General features: G+C 46.8%; 1 protein-coding gene and 1 long non-coding RNA gene across 10 annotated transcripts, besides 1 other annotated feature; one reads left to right on the top strand and one right to left on the bottom strand.

The window, feature by feature from the left end:
- Positions 1-1,846: 1,846 nt before the first annotated feature.
- SERPINA9 (serpin family A member 9) lies at positions 1,847-15,323 on the top strand. Of its 9 annotated transcripts, none has more exons than NM_001042518.2 (6): positions 1,847-1,908; positions 8,187-8,419; positions 8,720-8,831; positions 10,662-10,935; positions 13,190-13,337; positions 14,748-15,323. In NM_001042518.2, the coding sequence occupies exons 2-6, from the start codon at positions 8,204-8,206 to the stop codon at positions 14,949-14,951; spliced, it is 954 nt and encodes a 317-aa protein (NP_001035983.2). In that variant the 5' UTR covers positions 1,847-1,908; positions 8,187-8,203; the 3' UTR covers positions 14,952-15,323. The 9 variants fall into 9 exon arrangements, with proteins under 9 accessions (NP_001035983.2, NP_001271205.1, XP_011535017.1 ...); NM_001284276.2 differs by lacking the exon at positions 8,187-8,419 and adding an exon at positions 7,859-7,956 and having other exon boundaries at positions 8,578-8,831; XM_011536715.3 differs by adding an exon at positions 7,859-7,956 and having other exon boundaries at positions 8,187-8,831.
- Positions 3,631-4,383: an enhancer, noted in NCBI's record as "H3K27ac-H3K4me1 hESC enhancer chr14:94939998-94940750 (GRCh37/hg19 assembly coordinates)". NCBI's record gives its function as "activates a minimal SCP1, AML or CMV promoter by ChIP-STARR-seq in primed H9 embryonic stem cells {active_cell/tissue: H9 hESC(primed)}" and the evidence as "EXISTENCE:reporter gene assay evidence [ECO:0000049][PMID:30033119]".
- A 78-nt stretch (positions 15,324-15,401) lies between the features above and the next one.
- LOC105370635 (uncharacterized) lies at positions 15,402-18,038 on the bottom strand. The gene is made up of 3 exons (XR_944169.3): positions 17,831-18,038; positions 16,679-16,726; positions 15,402-16,262 (listed from the first exon to the last, which is right to left on the bottom strand). It is a non-coding gene; the product is annotated as an uncharacterized LOC105370635 (long non-coding RNA).
- Positions 18,039-20,862: the final 2,824 nt, after the last annotated feature.

Genomic DNA, 20,862 nt, shown 5'->3' with positions numbered 1-20,862 from the left:
CTGGGTCTCTACTGAATGTTCCAGGTCTCTCCACTTTGGGTGCATAACCTTAATATATCCTATGCTTTGTGAACTCTGGAAATTATTTTGCTTATACCTTCACAGTAGGTTTATTTTTTCGTGTGTGTGTGTGTGTGTGTGTGTGTGTGTGTGTGTGTGTGTGTGTGTGGACCAGCCATGTGGAATTTCACTTTATGCATGCAGAGCTTAGTACTTAGCTTTGGACTTAAAGAGACCCCTATGAACATTTCTAAAGCTCTCCTCTAGTACTTCACTGCACAAATTATAGCTTCCTCAGTTTTCTCAAACTCTAATGTCTGTCTCCTAAGCTCAGCAAGCCTCCCATGCCCTCCTTGGGTTTTCTTCCACACGTCCAGAAAGTATCCTTAGGCAGAAAATTGGGACAATTGTAGAGCTTATCTCATTTTTTACCTTCCCTGCCTGTTCTCTAATGTCTGAATTGTTATATGTATTTTTCGAGTATCTCAATAGTGTCATAAATTTTGTCTAGTTTTCTGTTTACAACAGTTTGCAACCAATATCAGTTACTTTGTTTTGGCCAAAAGTGTAAGTCAACTCAAACTTTACATATATACCTGTGTAACTTTACCTTAAGTAGCTACAGGACTTTCCATCACCCTGAGTTCCCCTTGCTTATTACCAGTCAGGATTACTCTTCAAAGATAAATGGATTATTTCATTTTATTTCAATTCATTTATTCTTTTAGCAACCACTTACTGAACCGTGAGTATTGGCCAAAGAGTGGGTGCACAAGTAGACAAAATTAAGGTAGACAGGATCCCTGATTCATGAATTGTTCAGTCACACAAATAAATGTGAAACTATGACAGTGATAAGTGTTTCACTGAGAAGTTGATGGTACTATAAAAATAGCTGCTGGGAGAAAGTTTTCTTATTTCAGTGGTCAAAGAGAGTTTCCTTGAGGAAATCACACAAACTAGGGCCTAAATAATGAATAAAAATTAATTAGGGGAAAAGTCAGATGAAGAGAGTTGGAAGGATATTCCAGGAGTAGGAAACAACAAATATCACATGTGAGCATAAAAAAAAAAATCAGCAGAATGGGCTAACATGGATGTCAAGGGCAAGGGGCTTCATGATCTGTGATGAACTTAGAGGAGCCCGCAGAGGCCAGGCAATGCAAGTTAAGACTTCAGTGTTTACTTTGGGAAACGGGAGGCAATTGAGACATTTTAAATACTAAGTGACACAGTCAGGTTTGAGTTTTAAAAGACTATTCTAGCTGTCATGTGCAGAGTGAATTGGAGGAGCAGGACAGGGTATGCAGAGAGAGCTGTTAGGAAGCTCTGTGGTAGCCCAGGCAAGACACAATGACAGCCCAACTGGCCTGCTAGAGTGGAGGCAGAGAAAAGTGGATGGACTTGAGCAACATTCAGGAGGTAAAGTTGACAAAACTGGGCATAAGTTGACATGAAGAAGAAGGAAGTGCAAGGATGCCCCTCCTAGGCTCAACTAACCAGGTGAATGGTGGACCCAGTGACAGAAATGTTGAAAAGAGGTTTCGGTTGTGGCTGTTGCTGGGAGATGGTTCTTGGGAAGGAGTCTGAGTTCACTGTGGTTCATATTGCATGTAAGGTTTATTTGCAACATCAGGAGGAGATATCAAGTAGGAAGTTAGACATGTAGAGATCAGAGGAAAGGATTGAGCTGGAGAATAAAAATAATATATCATTTGCATGTCTAGCTGGAGAATAAAAATAATATATCATTTGCATGTCTTAGTAATGAAGTCATGGGTGTCGTGGCATGAGATCAGCTGGAGGGAGAGGAGAGATTAAAGTGAGGAGAGAGCTACAACCAAGTAAGCAAGTGTCAGGGCTCACCAACCATGCAAGGACAGGGCAGGAGAAGAGGAACCTGCAAAGGTGGGTAAGGAGGAGGTGCAGAGAGATCGGGAATGTGGTGTCACTGAGCCAGAGGGAAGGACTGGATCAGAGCATGGTCTTCAGTGTCAAATGCAGCTGGGAAGTCAAATAAGATGAGAACCTAGACACATTAGTTGGCTTTTAGTAGCATCTGGGTCACATTTTTGTGGATACAGAAGCCAGGCTGGAGTGGACCAGTGAGTGAGTTGGAGGTAAGGCCACAGAGACCATGAATACACAGCTCTTGAAAATTTGGGCCACAAGGGGAGGAGTATTGAAATAGGGCAGCTGCTAGAAGCAAATGAGAGGGTGAAAGGAGTGTTTTTGTTGTTGTGTCGTTGTTGGTTTCTTTGTCTTAACGAGCAAGACTTGAACAGTTTCCAAACTAACAGCAAGGATCAGCTTGAGAGGGAGTGTTTAAGTGCAGAAAAGAGAGGTGGAAGGGTCCTGAGATGGAGAGAAGAGATACTTTCTAAGGCCCAGGAAGGGGGACTGGACCTCAAAGGAGGGCCGATCCTCTGCTTTATTGGTGGAGTGGAGGTGTAGGGGAGAGAGAGGGGCGACTGGGAAAGTAGGGATAGGCAGAGAGGATGCCCTTTGAGGGAAGTTGAGACAATTCCTTTTCATAGGATCTCTCTTTTATGTGAGATAGGAGGCAAGGTTGTCTGCTCAGTGTGTGTGTGTGTGTGTGTGTGTGTATGTGTGTGTGTGTGTGCACATGTAGGCACACATGCATATGTAGCACACATGTAGCAGGGTGGGCATCCATTCCACCCTGGAATAAAAAGGTTAAGGACATGGAAAAGGTGAAGCTTTTCCCTGAAAATGGGAGAGTGAGCTGATGAGTTACATGTTGCCGGGTGGATAAAGGCTGGTGGTTGGGAACCCACAGTGGACGAGGCTGCCTTGCAGAACCCCTCTTCCAGCAGCACTTGGCAGGGAAGGAGCAGACAGGTAGGTTCTACCACACATGGAGCCTTGCCACAGGGCTGGGACATGAAGACACAGGCCTGGGGGTGAAGCACAGTAGATTAAAATGAAGCCCTTGACACCCAAGCTGGATAAAGAGGCAAACGAAGATAGGGGATGGGGTGGAATTGAGGAATGCAAACAGCTGGGTCCTCAAAGATGCAGCTGGGGAGGTGAGTCAGGGCCCAATAAATAAAGCTCTTGAATGTCAGGGGCTTGAGCATTTTTTCTGAGCTCAATGGGGAGCCATTGAGGAATTCGAGGTGAGGTGAGTGATACACCAGATCAGCATCTGGAAAGGTCACCCTGTCTGCAGGGTGGAGGAGCGCTTGGAGATGGGAGTGAGTGAGAGACAATGGAAGGTGGAATGCAGGCTGTGGTAGCTGGGAGGGAGAGGTCCAGAAGAGGCAAGCCCTGGGGACGGCAGAGTGTCCCTGTCACCCCAACGAGCAGTGCCCCCTGGCCGAACGCTCACATAAACCCGGGCCACAGCCAAAAGAGGGGCAAGGGCCTTGGCAGGGCTGGGAGAGAGAAGGGGTGGCCACAGGAGGACAGGAGTTCAGGGTGGGGAGAAGCAAAGTGGGGAGTGTGGTGGATTTTAAGAGCTGACTGAATGAGCTTTGGCCACGGTTTTCCCCCAAGAGAGCAATGACCTGGGGGCCCTCAGACATAGATCCCAGACTCAGAAGAGAGGGCCTTTTGAGACCACCTCTTCCTGAAGTCTTGTGAAAAGCAGAGACTTACCTGAAGTCACATGGAGGCCAGTACCATCGATGACTCAGGACATTTACTAGCCAACTCCCCGACTTCAGGTGGGTCTCCCCTACTCAACCCAAGCCCAAAAGAAACAAGACTTGGGGCGTGGAGGCCGCGTCTAATAGGCCACCTCTGCTGATGGGAATGCGGATTCTTTAGGAGGCACAACCCAGCGTCAGTGGGGGCCCCCTGAGAGCCACCTGCCCCACTGCCAGCCTCCACAGAAAGGGGCACAGACCCCTGGTGCTTGTGGCATCCTGGCGCCTGGCAGCACCCGCTTCCCCTCCATGTGGCTGATGTCCTCTTCCTTCAACCTGGTCTCCTCTCCCATGGTCATGAATAGCCAGGGACAATCCTATTCCTTCACCCTGATTCCAAGGGAGGGACACAAAATCATAAGAGCCACAAGAGAGATGCAGCTTTGGTCTCCTGCCCACCATGGGCTGGATGCCGCACTGGGCGTTCTGCAGACGTTGTCTCGCCCTTCCTCAGAACTGCCCTCCTTACAGATCAGGGTTGACGCAATTCAGAAGATGAAGCAATTCGAGGACAATGCTGTTCTCTAAACAGAAAGTACTGCTCTGAGGTTAGGAGGGGAACCATGATCTTGCTTAGGCTCTGACTTCTGAGTGGCCGTCAAGATCAAGTGCTGCCACTTCACCATTGAGGCTAGAGGGCCTGCAGACCCCAAGTTAACACAGTAGACCCCAGCTTGTCACAGGGAAGCCTGCAGATGCCACACTCTTACACGGCGTCCTGAAGAGCCCCAGTCTGTCACAGAGCTCATCAAATAAGAGAAACTCAGGGTTTCAGTCTTATATTCCAGGAGGCCTCCTTCATTTCACCTCCCTGGTTTTTTGTTGTTGTTGCTTTTTTTTTTTTTTTTTTTTTGAGACAGAGTTTCACTCTTGTTGCCCAGGCTGGAGTGCAATGGCCTGATCTCGACTCACTGCAACTTCCGCCTCCCGGGTTCAAGTGATTCTCCTGTCTCAGCCTCCGGAGTAGCTGGGACTAGAGGTGCCCGCCACCAAGCCTGGCTAACTTTTGCATTTTTAGTAGAGATGGGGTTTTGCCACGTTGGCCAGGCTGGTCTGGAACTCCTGATCTCAGGTGATCCACCTGCCTCGAAAGTGCTAGGATTACAGGCGTGAGCCACCGCGCCCAGCCACCACCCCAGTTCTGAGGCTGGTGTAAATGCTTCTCCATCTCAGGGCAGCACACCAAGTGTCTACTGAGCCCATACATTGGGCACTTTTCCGTGCTGGTGGGGGAAGGGGGAAGGAGGACAGGAAGCAGGTGTGTAGAGCAATGAGGAACACAGACAGGTGCAGGGATAGTCTTGAGAATTCTCTGCTGCTGAGGTTCTCTGCAGCCATCCCCCAGTGGGTTCCAGGGCACAGAACCAAGTCCGCACATCCCTGCATGGGGCCCCCTCTCTCGGCAGCTGGTCTCTCCTGCTCCCCAGCCCTTCCTGCCGGCTTCTGTGGTGCTGAAATCTGTGTCAGAACCTTTTCTGTTCCTCAAAGCTGCCTGGCTCTGGTTCCCTCTGGGCCCTTGCACAGGTGGTCCTCCCAGCCTGAATCTCTCTCTTCTCTGCTTTTCCCTTTTACCTTGCTAACATTTTTCAAGTTTCAATCAGCTGCCACTTCCACTGGAAGCCTTTCTTGTTATGGAATAGGTGTTCCCAATGCCTGTACTTACTCATCACACACACACACTTCTTGTGTCTAGTGGTGTTTGCTAATTGTCTGTCTTCCCAGTGGGCTCCTTAAGAACAAGGACCCTGTCTCTCTGTCCCTCATTGTAGCCCCAACACCTCCTATAGTACCTGCATAATAAGCGTACATGTTCAACCCAATGGACCAAATGCATAAATTACACATTCAAAGAACCTAGAGATTATCTAAAGGCACGCGTGTGGTCAGTGATAATCCATTTGGTAATAGAAGTCGAGTAAATTTCAGAAGTGCCAGAAGAGAGAAGGGAGAGAGTGATGAAGTCACAACAGGAGAGGGGAGCCAGGGAGGGCCTCTCAAGCCGGTAATAGCTAAGTAGAGTCTTCCAGAGTGAGAAACAAGGGCTTTTCCATTAGCAAAGGAAGGTGGCATCCAGGAGGGGCATTTGTAGCAGAGTATGCTATGCCTGAGCAAGGGGTAGGTGAGTGGGAAGAGAAGGGAGGGAGGTGGACCCTGGGCTGTTGCTATTGGTGTTGACTGCAGAGGCTGCAGATAAATTCACTGGCCAGCAGTGGGGCCGAAGAGAGGGGAAGCAGTCAACTCTCAAGGCCACATGTCATAGGGTTCCCAGAGAACTCTTTAAGAGCCAGGACCCTGGCTATCTGTCCCCCATTGTAGCCCCAACACTTCTATCTCCCAGTAGATCGTCTCTGTGCAGAGTCAAATTGGTGAAGTTTCTTAAGAAAAACGTTTTGAGGAAGCATGACCAGAGGAGGGAGATGAGTCCAGAAGCCTTCAGGATTGTCCAGGGGAGAGATAAGGAGGGTTTGGACCAAGGGAAAAGCAAAGAGATGGAGAGAAGCTGGGGCTTGCGATGTCTCGGGGAGGAAGAACGATGTGGGGAAGGAGGGTGGCCGAAGAGTGCAGAGTGGCCATCAGTCTCCTGACTTGGAAGATGGCAGCATGGGTAAAATGGCCTTCTTGGAGAAAGGGAGAGATGGGGCACTCAGGGTGGGGGCAGCTCTGGAGGTCAGTTCAGAACAGGTTGGCAAAGAGTCCAGTAGGTGGATGGATGGATGCGAATGTAACTTAGAAAGAAAATTCCACTTTAGTCAAACAGGCAAATACAAAACTACACAACAGAAATCGCCAATCACATAAGTGGAAATGGAGAGAAATGAACAGGTTTGCAAAAGAATTACTCATTCAGTAAAAGGGTTCTTTATAAAGTTCCATCTAAGTTAAATTATATCTGGTATAATAAAATGTGATTCATTTACATATTTCATTTCCACAGAGAAATTGTTGGGAATGTGGCTGTCACATTATGCTTGGTCTGACATAGACAAGTGACTATGTGTGGCAATATTTTTGTCGCTTTTGGCAAAGGTTCTCTTATCTTTTCCTTCTCCATTTCTGGCAAAATAATTGTTCACTTATTGACTGAATTCTTGTTCCAGTGGGTAAAGTCTTTCCTTCACAATCAGGAGTAACACTTCATGCCGGTGCTCCTAGGAGAAGAGTTGGTGGCAGCCATTCACACTGTAGTATAAATGACTAAAGAGCAAAGTCTGATGAAGGGCAAGGGGGATTATGAAGGCACTGTGCTTGTGAAAAGGATGATGGGGGGAAGGACATCCAGGTCATGGGGGGGAAATTATAAAATTTGTGAGAAGAGAAAAGCCTTCAGACGGATGTGACCTATTGGAGCACACACCTGCTTTGCTTTCCCCTCTGGCTGAGCACAGACCTCCCCTGGCCTTGCATTGGATTCATACACCTTCCTTCTCTAAAATGACCACTTACTGTTGTATCTCAGGGTCAACGCACAGGGTTGGAGCTCCTCTGTAAAGTTGTGTTAAAGGAAATGAAATCTTTCTGATGAAACTGAACAGGTGAGGGTGCTGTAGGCAGGGCTGGGGAGACCTGTGAGCAGTACTTGATAGAGTTGCTCCAATCAAATTCTCTCTGACTTCAACAAAACAACAGTAAAAGTAATGTATTCAGCGCTCACCATGTGCTGGGTCCCGTGCTGCACAATTTGTGCCTTATCACACTCAGTCCTCTGAACAACTCTGTAAGGTAACTATCTCTGTTTTACAAAGGCAAAACAGAGAAGTCCAGAGAGGTTACTTGTCCACCACGAATGTCAGGGTTAGATTCAAGCCCAGCCCTGTTGGGGTTTGAAATTGCTATCAGGTCATTTAGTCTGAAGTCTCCTTGGGGCCAAAGCCATGTCAGCTGAGGCTTGAAGGGGAAGCAGACAGATGTGACTAGAACTGCAGCTCATCAGCAACTGACTGCCAGTGCTCAGGGCACCTGAAGGAGCACAGCAAAAAGGACAGCCTTTTGCTCCAGGTTTCCACTTTTTGAGAGATATGAACACATTAGTAAAATGCCTGTGTCTGGGAACAGGCAGCCAGGGTGAGAAAATAATCAGATCTACACAAAATGGATAAAGAATGTGTGGAGGGACCTCCAAAGGGTGAGAAACCACTTCTGGCTGCTAATGCAATCTGGGTTCACATACTCAATTCTTAAAAAATAAGTCCATGAAGCAGAAACATCAAAAAGCATGGGATTTGGAATTTGAGACCTGACTTTGAAGCCCACACAGAACACAGACAAGTCAACCATGCTATTTGGGGTAAGTTGCACAGACTCTCTGTGGCCTGTTTACTCATTTGCAAGTAAAACAGCAATAATAAGATCTACATCATGGGAATATTGTGAGGCTCAGAGATTATGTGAGAGAGCTCTGCTAACTGGCCTATCTGTCCTCATTCTGCTGCTGATGGCGTGGGGGTGTTAAAGGGTCTCTGATTCAGGGCCTGGACCCTCAGTTTACCCCCTCAATGGTTCTTACTTCTCTTGCAGACATATTTTGTTCCAAAATGGCATCTTACCTTTATGGAGTACTCTTTGCTGTTGGCCTCTGTGCTCCAATCTACTGTGTGTCCCCGGCCAATGCCCCCAGTGCATACCCCCGCCCTTCCTCCACAAAGAGCACCCCTGCCTCACAGGTGTATTCCCTCAACACCGACTTTGCCTTCCGCCTATACCGCAGGCTGGTTTTGGAGACCCCGAGTCAGAACATCTTCTTCTCCCCTGTGAGTGTCTCCACTTCCCTGGCCATGCTCTCCCTTGGGGCCCACTCAGTCACCAAGACCCAGATTCTCCAGGGCCTGGGCTTCAACCTCACACACACACCAGAGTCTGCCATCCACCAGGGCTTCCAGCACCTGGTTCACTCACTGACTGTTCCCAGCAAAGACCTGACCTTGAAGATGGGAAGTGCCCTCTTCGTCAAGAAGGAGCTGCAGCTGCAGGCAAATTTCTTGGGCAATGTCAAGAGGCTGTATGAAGCAGAAGTCTTTTCTACAGATTTCTCCAACCCCTCCATTGCCCAGGCGAGGATCAACAGCCATGTGAAAAAGAAGACCCAAGGGAAGGTTGTAGACATAATCCAAGGCCTTGACCTTCTGACGGCCATGGTTCTGGTGAACCACATTTTCTTTAAAGGTAAGGATTTGAGAAGTTGATTTTTATTTATTTATTTTATGATGATGATGATGATTTTTGCTTAGTGAAATACACAAGCCAGACAAACCCTAGACTGCAGGGTGGAGAAATGGGAGGGCCTGAGCTCTAATTAGCTTTGCAATTAGCTGGCTGCAGGACCTAGGATAGCTCATGTTTACCAGTTACAGTAGGGACTCATTTAGTTCTCTTTGGGTAGACAGATTAAGTGTCTTGAGGTGTGTTTACATTTGACTCAGTGGGAAACCCACAGGAAAAATCTGGAGACTACTTGAGAGAAAAGATCTCTTGCCACCAGCAGCTGTCCCACTGCCCCTTGAAAGTTTTAGAAAGAAACATGGAACTCTCTGACAACCCAGTTTAAGAAGCAAATCCAAGAGTGTGAACACTTTCATAGGTGTAGAAATGTAGACAAGCTGATGTGCCTGTCATTCGTATCCCTTATATATATGAAGTCTCCTTCATATATAACTGCATATAGATATAGATATAGATGTAGATATATGTTAGAGCTTTACAGTTTCACTGTATTGCAGGGAATGCACATCAGCTTTAAAGTCAAACAACTTGAATTTGAATTTCACCTCTACCCCATACTTGCTCTATGATCCTCAGCATGTGTCTCTAAAAGATTTACCATGTGTTGAGTGCCTGACCTGTGCCAGTCTCTGTGCTGACTGGATACTCTGATGATAAAGCCAACTTTATAGGTTGTGCTTGAGATAGAAGTGCCTGGCATCTCCAGGCAGAGTTTTCATGGATGCCACCGTATCATCCCTCCCTTCCTCTGTCCCTCTCCTTCCCTTCCTTCCTCCCTCCCTTCATCCACATGTTCACTCATTTATCCATGCACTAGTTTATCTGTCCATCCATCCAGGCATGCGCCTAACCAACCAGCCAGCCATCTATCCATTAACGTATTCATCTATCCATCTACCCATTCACCAAGCTATCCATCCATTTGTCCATCCATCAGTTCATCCATCCATCCATGCATCCATTCATCCACCTAGCTAGCCAACCACCTGTCCATTAATCTATTCATGTATCTATCCACCCTATATCTGCCCATTCACCAAACTATCCACCCATTTATCCATCTGTCATTCATCCATGAATCCATGCATACATCCATCTATCCACCCAGACAGCCAACCATTTATCCATTAACCTGTTCATCCCTCCACCCTTCATCTACCCATCCAGCAAACTATCCACCCATTTATCCATCCATCAGTTCATCCATCTATCCATCCATCCATCCATCCATCCATCCATCCATGCATCCATTCATCCACCTAGCTAGCCATCTAGCTAGCCAACCACCTATCCACTAATCTATTCATCTATCTATCCCTCTATCGGTTCATCCATCCATCCATTCATCCATTAATCCATCTATCCACCCAGCCAGCCAACCATTTATCCATTAGCTATTCATCTATCCATCCACCCTCCATCTGCCAGGCTATCCACCCATTTATCCATCCATCCTGCAAAGAGGAAAGAGAAGGAAAGAAAACTGGTATGGTTTGAGCCCTTACTAAGTTACCTTCAGTTTATGTTGTTCTATTTAACTAATTCTATTTTTAATTGAAATACAATTCACATGTCATAAAATTCACCATTTTATTGCTTTTTAGTATATTCACAAGTTTGGGCAACTACTCCGCTGTGTAATATCAGAGCATTTTTTTGTCACCTCAAAAAGAAACCTCATACCCACTAGAAGTAATTCCCCATTTCAGTTTGCTGTCTTTGCCTCACTAATTGTACTTTGACATAAAGACTTCTTTTCTCTCTTTGTGCTAGCCAAGTGGGAGAAGCCCTTTCACCCTGAATATACAAGAAAGAACTTCCCATTCCTGGTGGGCGAGCAGGTCACTGTGCATGTCCCCATGATGCACCAGAAAGAGCAGTTCGCTTTTGGGGTGGATACAGAGCTGAACTGCTTTGTGCTGCAGATGGATTACAAGGGAGATGCCGTGGCCTTCTTTGTCCTCCCTAGCAAGGGCAAGATGAGGCAACTGGAACAGGCCTTGTCAGCCAGAACACTGAGAAAGTGGAGCCACTCACTCCAGAAAAGGTGGGCATCTGTGTCAATCTCCTGGGCCCTGAGGCAGGGGATGCACACATTCAAAGATGAGGGAGAGATTGTGCTAACAGCTGTTGGATAATCACTTCTGCACAGTGAGCACCAACTGCATGCAGGACAGAGAGCCTGGGGCTGTCTATACATGTTCACACTTGAAGTTCACTATCACCTGATGAGGAGTCTTAGTACCACTCATTACACAGATGAGGAAATGGAGGCTCCAAGGGGTAAGTGAATTGCCCAAGGTCATGTAGCTGTTATATGCTTGCAGAGCTGGCTCTAGAAGCCTATCTGATATTGAAATCTATGGAATGATCCCATAAAAGCTAGCAAACAAAAGCATTGGTGGTCACATATAAGAAAGAGGATAACAATATTACCAAATCCAAAGGTTGGTGAAAAGGTAAAGTAACCTGCTACTTACAAAGTGCTTAGAAGAATTCCTAGAAGATAGTAAGTGTTCAGTAAATGCTAGCTAATAATGTTATTATTAGTTCTGTAATTAGTATGGTGAGTACAAAAAATATGGAGAATAGCAAAAAGATTAATCATGAGATAAAAAAGGAATGTCCACGTTTTATGTTCTGTCTCTTAGCAATATATTTTTGGCATCTTAGAATGATTTTAGCAGCGTTCCCTGGTGCTCATAGTCTGGGAAGAGAGAAGGAAGGCTGCAGTGTAACTGGAATTCAAGAAAGAGATTGGGCAATGCCCCACGGGAGGGCAGGAAAGGTGCTGAGGAGTTTCTGAGCAGAGAGAGATCACTTTCAGCTGGGACTGAGGGACAGCTTCAAGGAGGCGGTGGGGTTTAGCTGCACATGTGGGTAGCATATGAGCACACAGAGGCTTGGCAAGGGCAGCTTTGGTAGAGGACACAGCACTGGCAAAAACTCAAAGTTAAGGATGAAGAGATGCTGCAGGGTGTGTCAGCGATTTCTTCTCTTCTCAGGCTGCATCTGGGGCTGGGGATAGGAAGAGGAGGTGGCACAGAATTTCAGGGAGGGAGGGACAGAGTACAGAGCAGCAGATGGAGCACAGAGAAAACAGGGAAAGAGGACAGTGGCAGGGAAAAGAGAGCTGTCCCTGGCATGAGGGGTCACAAGACACCTGTCAGATGAGGACTGAAATGTGTCCATCCAATATTTTTGTGCTTTCGTTGCTGTGAGTCACTAAGTACATAACCTTGGGCAAAGCACTAAAAGTAAGCTTTACCGTCTTTAAAAGGGGGAAGTGTTGTTGAATGTGCCTGGGACAATGTCTGGCATATAATAAATGTTCAGGCTGGACTCACGCCTGTAATCCTAGCACTTTGGGAAGCCGAGGCGGGTGGATTGCCTGAGCTCAGGAGTTCAAGACCAGCCTGGGCAACACGGTGAAACCCTGTCTCTACTAAAATACAAAAAAATTAGCCGGGCATGGCCACGTACACCTGTAATCCCAGCTACTTGGGAGGCTGAGGCAGGAGAAACACTTGAACCCACGGGGTGGAGGTTGCAGTGAGCAGAGACTGTGCCATTGCACTCCAGCCTGAGCGACAGAGTGAGACTCCATCTTAAAAAAAAGAAGTTCAACACATGTGGGCTGTTTACTCTTGGTTCAGGGAAACCATTGCAGAGGAAAAAAAATATTGTGCTAAATTATCAGGTGGTGCTGTTCAATATAGTAGCCGCTAAGCCACCTGCAGTAATTTACACTTAAGTTAACTGAAATGTAGTAAAATTAACATTTTAGTTTCTCATTTGCACAAGCCACTGTTTAAGTTGCTCAGTAGCCACACATGGCTAATGGCTACCGTACTGGAGAGTGCAGGTCTAGGATCTTCCCAGCATCACAGGAAGTTCTGCTGGACTTTGCTGCTCTAGGGCATTATTAGCAGGGCTTGCATCAGGAAGTGCTGCTGAGGAGGTATTCCGGACAGTGAGTGGGTGGTTGATGAGCTTCCATTGCTACTGGACGTCTCCTGTTGGTTTCTGCCATAGACTCCCTTGCTGACTGCTTTTTCACCTCTGCACCCACTTCACTGGGGGCTCGTCTATCTCCTTGCATGTTTTTAGTGCTGGACCTGCTCAGCTGGGAGGCTTATTTCAAGAGCAACCTGGGTTTCTTGGCTAGGATGTGTTGACCTTTTTAGCAGAAATTAGCAGTGGTTGGAGGAAGAACGGAGTCTCCCAAAATGGCATCTAGGAGCAGAGATGCAGACACCATGGGCTTGTGACCTCATTGTTTCCTTTTCCCTACTCCACAGGTGGATAGAGGTGTTCATCCCCAGATTTTCCATTTCTGCCTCCTACAATCTGGAAACCATCCTCCCGAAGATGGGCATCCAAAATGTCTTTGACAAAAATGCTGATTTTTCTGGAATTGCAAAGAGAGACTCCCTGCAGGTTTCTAAAGTGAGTTGAATGAAAATATTTGCAAAAAAGTCCAAGCTGGAAGCACCTGCAGAATTAATCACATGCTCTTATTTCGTTGATAAGGAAACAGAGGCCTGAAAGGTGAAGTCAGGGTCTTCTGCGGCCAGAAGAACCGAATCTTGCGGCCTATGGCCACCATCCCTCTGGCATGCAGCATCTGTTATCCCTCTTCACACAAATGTTCCGAAGCCATCCTCAGCAGTCAGGTGCTCCCCCATGCCTGCTGCAGGAGAGCAAGTGCTCCCTCAGGATCTGACCTCACTTTCTTCCTCCCTGAAGTTTAGGCCCTCACACAGGCATCACAGTGTGGCTGCCCATAGGTCATCTGCACCCTGTAGATGTGTTGTCTGGCCTTCAGTGTGTAAGGAGAGAGAGAGAGAGAGAGAGAGAGAGAGAGAGAGAGAGAGAGAGAGAGGAGTTTTAAAGCATAGTATATTAGATCTAAAAGTCTAGATTTCTGATCCTCTTGAAATAAATCACTAACTCTAATTCCCACATGGCAACAGTGAGCCTATGTGTCCACATGGCAGCCATCACAGGAGCTGAGCTATGAGTGCCCCTTTTAACCAGACAGTATCCTCCAGGTAATGTGGGCACCCCATGCTCTTACAAGAAGTCTCCGTCAGTTAATTGGGGTTACCTGCCTAGCCCCTGCACACATATGGGTTACTGATCCCTGACCTAAAATTTTATTTTGATAGTGGATTATAATAGAAGTGATCCTGGGGCCACTGAAGGGGACCTTTGTCATTGGTTTTCAGAAAATGTTGAGAGGCCCCACTGGAATATGATGAACATAATGGACATTTTCTCGAGGAAAGTGTATCTGTGAGCCTATGAAAAATAATGCCTGTAGTCACAGGAGCTCAAGCCTCCCTGAAGCTTAGAAATCCAGGAACTCCAGGTTAAGAATCTCTTCCCTAGAAGACAAAGAAGGGATCTAACCTTAGTCATATCAAACCCATGTCTGCCATGCAAGAACTGCAGCAATTACTACTGCTGGCAAGTCCACAAGCACTTGCTTTGTATGATCTCTCTTAATTTACACAATAACCTTACGGGGCATATGCAGTTATTATTACCTTTTATAGATCGGGAACCTGAAGCACGCAGCATCTTAATAATTTTGCAACCATAAGTGGCAGAACTGAGACTCACTCCGGTCTTCCTGCTCTGTGTTTGTAACCATCTCAATCCCGGTGTAAGGACCAATGGGCCATAGTCAACACCCACTGCAATGTATTGAGTAAACCCAATGCCAGGCATTTGAACCTTGAATCCTTTCAAGGTAGACATCACCATTCCAGGGCAAAAGCACTCAGTTTAGTTTACTCAGTTAAGTAAAAGTGTCTCCACTAGGGCCACTGATGTTTGTTTTTCCCTTGGCAGGCAACCCACAAGGCTGTGCTGGATGTCAGTGAAGAGGGCACTGAGGCCACAGCAGCTACCACCACCAAGTTCATAGTCCGATCGAAGGATGGCCCCTCTTACTTCACTGTCTCCTTCAATAGGACCTTCCTGATGATGATTACAAATAAAGCCACAGACGGTATTCTCTTTCTAGGGAAAGTGGAAAATCCCACTAAATCCTAGGTGGGAAATGGCCTGTTAACTGATGGCACATTGCTAATGCACAAGAAATAACAAACCACATCCCTCTTTCTGTTCTGAGGGTGCATTTGACCCCAGTGGAGCTGGATTCGCTGGCAGGGATGCCACTTCCAAGGCTCAATCACCAAACCATCAACAGGGACCCCAGTCACAAGCCAACACCCATTAACCCCAGTCAGTGCCCTTTTCCACAAATTCTCCCAGGTAACTAGCTTCATGGGATGTTGCTGGGTTACCATATTTCCATTCCTTGGGGCTCCCAGGAATGGAAATACGCCAACCCAGGTTAGGCACCTCTATTGCAGAATTACAATAACACATTCAATAAAACTAAAATATGAATTCATCTGTCAACAGAGTCCTAATCTGAAAATGATTTACTAGCGAACTCGCGATGGCTGGGCTGTCATCCCATGACATCTCAGAGGCTGCATGATTTTTTTCCTTCATTTATTCAGCAAAAATTTATTGAACACTTAACATATGTTAGGAGTAAATCAGACAGACAAGATTCCTGGCCTGTTAGGCCTAAATGGGGGAGACAGACCCCCCTACAGCAACAATGAAACCAGACCTATAAACATGATCGTAAGAGCTTATGATAAGTGCCATGAAGGCATTGAACAGGATGACTGAGAGTGAGGATAGGACAAGGGAGGGGTGTGAGCATGAAGGCTGTGAGTCAGGAATGAGTGGCATGTTGGAGAGACAGAGCAGGGACCTTGTGGCATCATGTGTGGCAGATGGAAGAAATGAGAACACAGAGGCTCAAAGAGGTCGGCTGGTGGAGGCCATTGTTAGCCAAGGAGAGAGTCTGGGTTTGTGGGGAGCGCCGGGACACCGGCTGACGAGGGCTAATGCGTGGGCTGTGAAGGTCTCCCCGGGTGCCGTGGACCAGTTTCCCATCTCCTCGCGGCTGGCTGCCTTCCTGACTCCGATAACGTCATGTGTGCACACACAGCCCTCCGGGTGCTCAGCCCCTTCCCTGCGGGTTTGTAACGGCAATGGTCCCGCTTCCATACTCTGAGTCCTGAGAGCAGCACAATGAGCAATGGGCCACGGTTGCACTACAGCAAAGGCAGCTCGTGTCCTTTGAGTCAGACCCACCGTCCCTCCTTCCCTCGTTGCCTGACAGGCTGTGCTGGCACCTCTATGTCACCCCCATTACCGAGGGCATCTCTGGCAGCCTCAGTAGAGCCCTTGCTCCCATCAGATCCAAAGGCTCCTCTTCTGGGGGCCCCGGTGCCCCACACACCTCGGATGTGCCAGGGGCCTCATGTAGGCTTTCTCATGCTATTTTATAAGGAAAGAAACAAAACAGAAAGGAGTTATGCTGGAGAGCTGGCAGAAGTCCCAGGGGAACCTAACCCCCTGGCCCTCACGCTCCCACTTTATTTCACAAACAGAACAAGCTGCCACTGCACTCCAGCTTGGGCAACAGAGCAAGGCCCTGTCTCAAAACAACAAAAACAAACAAACAAACAAAAAACAAAAACAGAAGAGCTGACACTCAAAGAGTAAAAACAACTAACCTAAGCCACAGGGCCTTCCTGTGCTGGCTTAGAACAAGGACCAATGGCCAGTTATGAAGGGCTCCCGCAACGCTGCCTGAAGCAAGGTTTGTTTTATACACAATGCTCTTCCCTCAGGCTCTCCATTATAAAGGCCACAGTGGAGAAGCCAGGCATCCTTCCCAGGAAGGAACATACCTGCTCAGACATGGCTCCAGCCTCCTGCAGAGTAGGCAAGAAGATGTCCTACAGTAGCACAAAGGAGATAGTAGGTGTGAAGAAGTGACTAATGACACTTGCTGTTCACAACTAGTTTTTTCCAGAAACTATGAGGAACCCCAAGTAGTCAGCAGTGGGTGACGGCTGTCAGCATCCCTCCGACAGCCTTGCTTCCAGTGGCACTTTACAGTGAAAGCAAGCTTAGGTGGCAACCTGGTGCCCACTCAGACTTGCATTGGCAAGCAGATACAAAAACAGCCGTGGGACATTTTCTATCAACTTGCTGAGGTCCCAGCTCTGTTTTTTGAAATGCCAATCCTTCGCATTTGTTTTTAAATGTACCTCACATTTTGTTTTGAAATCATTTCCACTGGGTATGGTAAGGTGACAGACAGAGACATCTGCCTTTGAAAGAAGAGTTTATTACTTTGAGCACCCAAGAGGAAGGGGCCTGCCCCACCACACAGGGCCACACGGGGAAGCACCGGGGCTGGTCCAGAGGCACAGGAGCGAGAGGAACATGTGGCCAGAGACTTTAGTACTGCAGTGTGGGGAGTGGTTAGGTGGGACATCCCTATTGGGCAGGAAGTGAAGTATAGAGGTTGAGGCTTGTGGTTGGAGAATTTGTAAAATGATTCTTGCATGCCCATGAAAACACAGAGAGGGCATGAACATAATCAACTGTGGCCGTTAGTTTGGGCCATCATTTCAAGATGCAAAATCATCAGTCACAGAATATCAAGCATGAGTATTACAGCATCGCATGAAAGTTTCACTCAAGGCAAGAGTGGCAAATGCAGACCCATGGGCACCTGCACCTCCACCCCATTTAGGGAATCAGGTTCGACCTCCTAGGAGACTTTATGTTTTACAAGTGCCTTGATTGGAACCACTGTGCCAACCTCAATGACCTTTTATTTTAGGATGAGATTTACTTGTACTATTAAATCATTCTACTTTCCAACAATAATGTTTTATTGTTTTTAATTATGAATAAGATGCATGCTCTTTGTAAGAAATTTGGAGAATACAAAAATCTGCAAAGAAGAACTTAAAAGTCACTTCAATTTTGTCATGAAGAGATTCTCTCATAAATAAATACTCATTTAATTCTAAGCTTGTTCTACTTACTTGGGAGACATGGGTGATCATGAGCCAATGATTTCACTTCACAGGTTTCTCAAAGTAGTAAGAAGAAAGGTCTTTCTCTGTTTGTGAAATTTCCTTCCAATTTTCTTTTCGTCACCTAAGCTGGAGTGCAGTGGCACAATCTTGGCTCACTGCAACCTCTTCTGCTTCCCAGGTTCAAGGGATTATCCAGCCTCAGCATCCCAAGTAGCTGAAATTACAGGCACCCGCCACCCTGTCAGGCTAATTTTTATATTTTTAGTAGAGACGGGGTTTCAACATGTTGTCCAGGCTGGTCTAGAACTCCTGGCCTCAAGTGATCCACCTGCCTTGGCCTCCCAAAGTGCTGGGATTACAGGCATGAGCCACCGCACCCAGCCCCTTCCAATCTTTTTATTCATACACAGATCATATTTTATTTGAAGCATCAACAAAATACTGGAATGGTTTGGTGTGGTAGTGAAGGCTTGGACTGGGGGATAGGATCCCAGTTCTGAGTGTGGCCCCATCCGTCCACTTAATGAGCAAGTGACTTAACCTCACAGAGCCTCAGTTTCCCATCTACAAAGTAGGGATGACTGTGCCTCTCTCACATTCTTGCGGTGAGGGTGACCAATAAAGAACGTAGCCTAAAAGAAAAAAAAAAGAGGGGGAAAAGTGGCAGACGGAAGGCAAGACTAGATTGCAGCTCGCACTTGGACAGAGCACTGTGTGGACCTTTGAAAAAAATTTCAAAGGTTCAACACTCGCATCTTCACCCTTTGCTTCAGAACTAATGCAGGAATAAACCAGGAAAGCCGAGAGAACCCACAAACCCTCTGAAGGAAGGAGGTTGCTCCTGCAGAACCCAAGAGACAGTCCAAATATTGTGAGTGCCCAAGCTGTGAAAGTGGGAAAGGTGGATTGTCTGTCACTGAACACACACCCTCACTGGGGCACCTGAAGGTCTAGATCATGGGAGAAGGATCTGACCTTATCTGGAGCTGAGTCAATTTAGAGAGCCAAGCAAAATATAGGGGTAGAGGAAGCAGCAGGAAAAGCCTGTGGGTTTTCCACCCTCAGAAAGCTATTTCAGAGTTGTCTCATGGGTGTTCTTGGGGAGGGCTGCCAGAAATACTGGGAAAAGACCACAGGGAGAAGGAAACCCCCAGCTGAACCTTGTAACAATTCCAACTGAACAGGAAGTCTCCTGGCCAGAACTCAAGGGAGGGCCTGAATCTGGTGTGCAGACTCCACAGGCCGATAGGCGTGAAAGCCCTACTTGTTCTCATAAGTGGGAGTCTGGTAGCCTGGGGCAAGTTCTCAGCCCTTCCTGCCCACTGCCTATAAACAAACTTGGTGCTGTTTGGGGGGACATGGTGGGAGTGAGACTGGTCTTTTGGGTTGTGTGGGAGCTGGGTGAGGCCTGTAACTGCTGGCTTTCCCCCACTTCCCTGACAACTTGCATGACACAGCAGAGGCAGCCATAATTCTCCTGGGAACAGCTCCATTGACCTGGGAACCACACCCCCATTCCCCACAGCAGACATAGCAAGCCCTGCCCAAAGAGAGTCTGAGCTCAGACACACACAGCCCTGCCCCCCTCCCCCCATGGTCCTTCCCTACCCATTCTGGTAGCTGAAGACAAAGGGCATATACTCTTGAGAGTTCTAAGGCCCTACCCACAGCCTGGTTCTTCCTATACTACCACAACTGATGCTCTCTCAAAAAGTGTCACCTTCTGGCAGGAGGCCAACCAGCACAAAAATAGTGCATTAACAACAAAAACTAAGGATCTTCACAGAATCCATTTCACCCCCCTGCCATCTCCACCAGAACAGGTGCTGGTATCCATGGCTGAGAGACCTGCAGATGGTTCACACCACAGGACTCTATGCAGACAATCCCCAGTACCAGCCCAGAGCCTGGTAGACCTGCTGGGTGACTAGATCCAGATAACAATCACCACAGTTTGGCTCTCAGGAAGCCACATCCCTAGGAAAGGGGTGAGAGTACTACATCAAGGGAGCACCCCATGGGACAAACGAATCTGAACAGCAGCCCTGAGCCCTAGATCTTCCCTCTGACATAGGCTATCCAAATGAGAAGGAAGCAGAAAAACAGTGCTGGTAACATGACAAAACAAGGTTCTTTAACACCCTCAAAAAATCACACTAGCTCACCACCAAACAAAAAAGAAATCCCTGATTTACCTGAAAAAGAATTCAGAAGGTCAGTTATTAAGCTAATCAAGGAGCCACCAGAGAAAGGTGAAGTCCAATTTAAGGAAATAAAAAAAATACATAAGAAATGAGGGGAGAAATCTTTAGTGAAGGAATAGCATAAATAAAAATCAACCCTTTAGGAAATAAAGGAGAGCACTGAGAGAAATGCAAAATGTTCTGGAAAGTTTCAGGAATAGAATCAAAGAAGCAGAAGAAAGAACTTCAGAGCTCAAAGACAAAGTTTTCAAAGGAACCCAATCCAACAAAGACAAAGAAAAAAGAATAAGAAAAAAAGAACAAAGCCTCCGAGAAGTTTGAGATTATGTTAAGTGACAAAACCTAAGAATAATTGGCATTCCTGAGGAAGAAGAGAAATCTAAAAGTTTGGAAAACATATTTGGGGGAATAATTGTGGAAAAGTTCCCTGGTCTTGCTAGAGACCTAGACATCCAAATACAAGATGCTCAAAGAACACCTGGGAAATTCATCACAAAAAGATCATCATCTGGGCACACTGTCTTCAGGTTATCTAAAGCCAAGATGAAGGAAAGAATCTTAAGAGCTGTGAGGCAAAATAGTCAGGTAAGATATACAGGAAAACCTGTCAGATTAACAGCAGATTTCTCAGTAGAAACCCTACAGAACAGACTAGAAGGGATTGGGGCTCTGTCTTCAACCTCCTTAAACAAAACAATTATCGGCTAAGAATTTTGTATCCAGTGAAACTAAGCTTCATACATGAAGGAAAGATACAGTCTTTTTCAGACAAACAAATGCTGAAAGAATTCACCACTACCAAGCCAGCACTACAAGAACTGCTAAAAGGAGCTC

The sequence above is a fragment of the Homo sapiens genome, chromosome 14 (genome assembly GCF_000001405.40).
Source record: "Homo sapiens chromosome 14, GRCh38.p14 Primary Assembly".
Taxonomy (NCBI): domain Eukaryota; kingdom Metazoa; phylum Chordata; class Mammalia; order Primates; family Hominidae; genus Homo; species Homo sapiens.
Note: the sequence above shows the minus strand (reverse complement) of the source record. Positions and strands in the feature narration are given on the sequence as shown.

Bases quoted from the DNA above. Each gene is read 5' to 3' on its own strand.
- SERPINA9 (NM_175739.4), top strand. From the start codon at position 8,204: ATGGCATCTTACCTTTATGGAGTACTCTTTGCTGTTGGCCTCTGTGCT. The intron at 10,936-13,189 runs GTGGGCATCTGT...CCTACTCCACAG, and splicing joins AGCCACTCACTCCAGAAAAG to GTGGATAGAGGTGTTCATCC. The intron at 13,338-14,747 runs GTGAGTTGAATG...TTCCCTTGGCAG, and splicing joins ACTCCCTGCAGGTTTCTAAA to GCAACCCACAAGGCTGTGCT.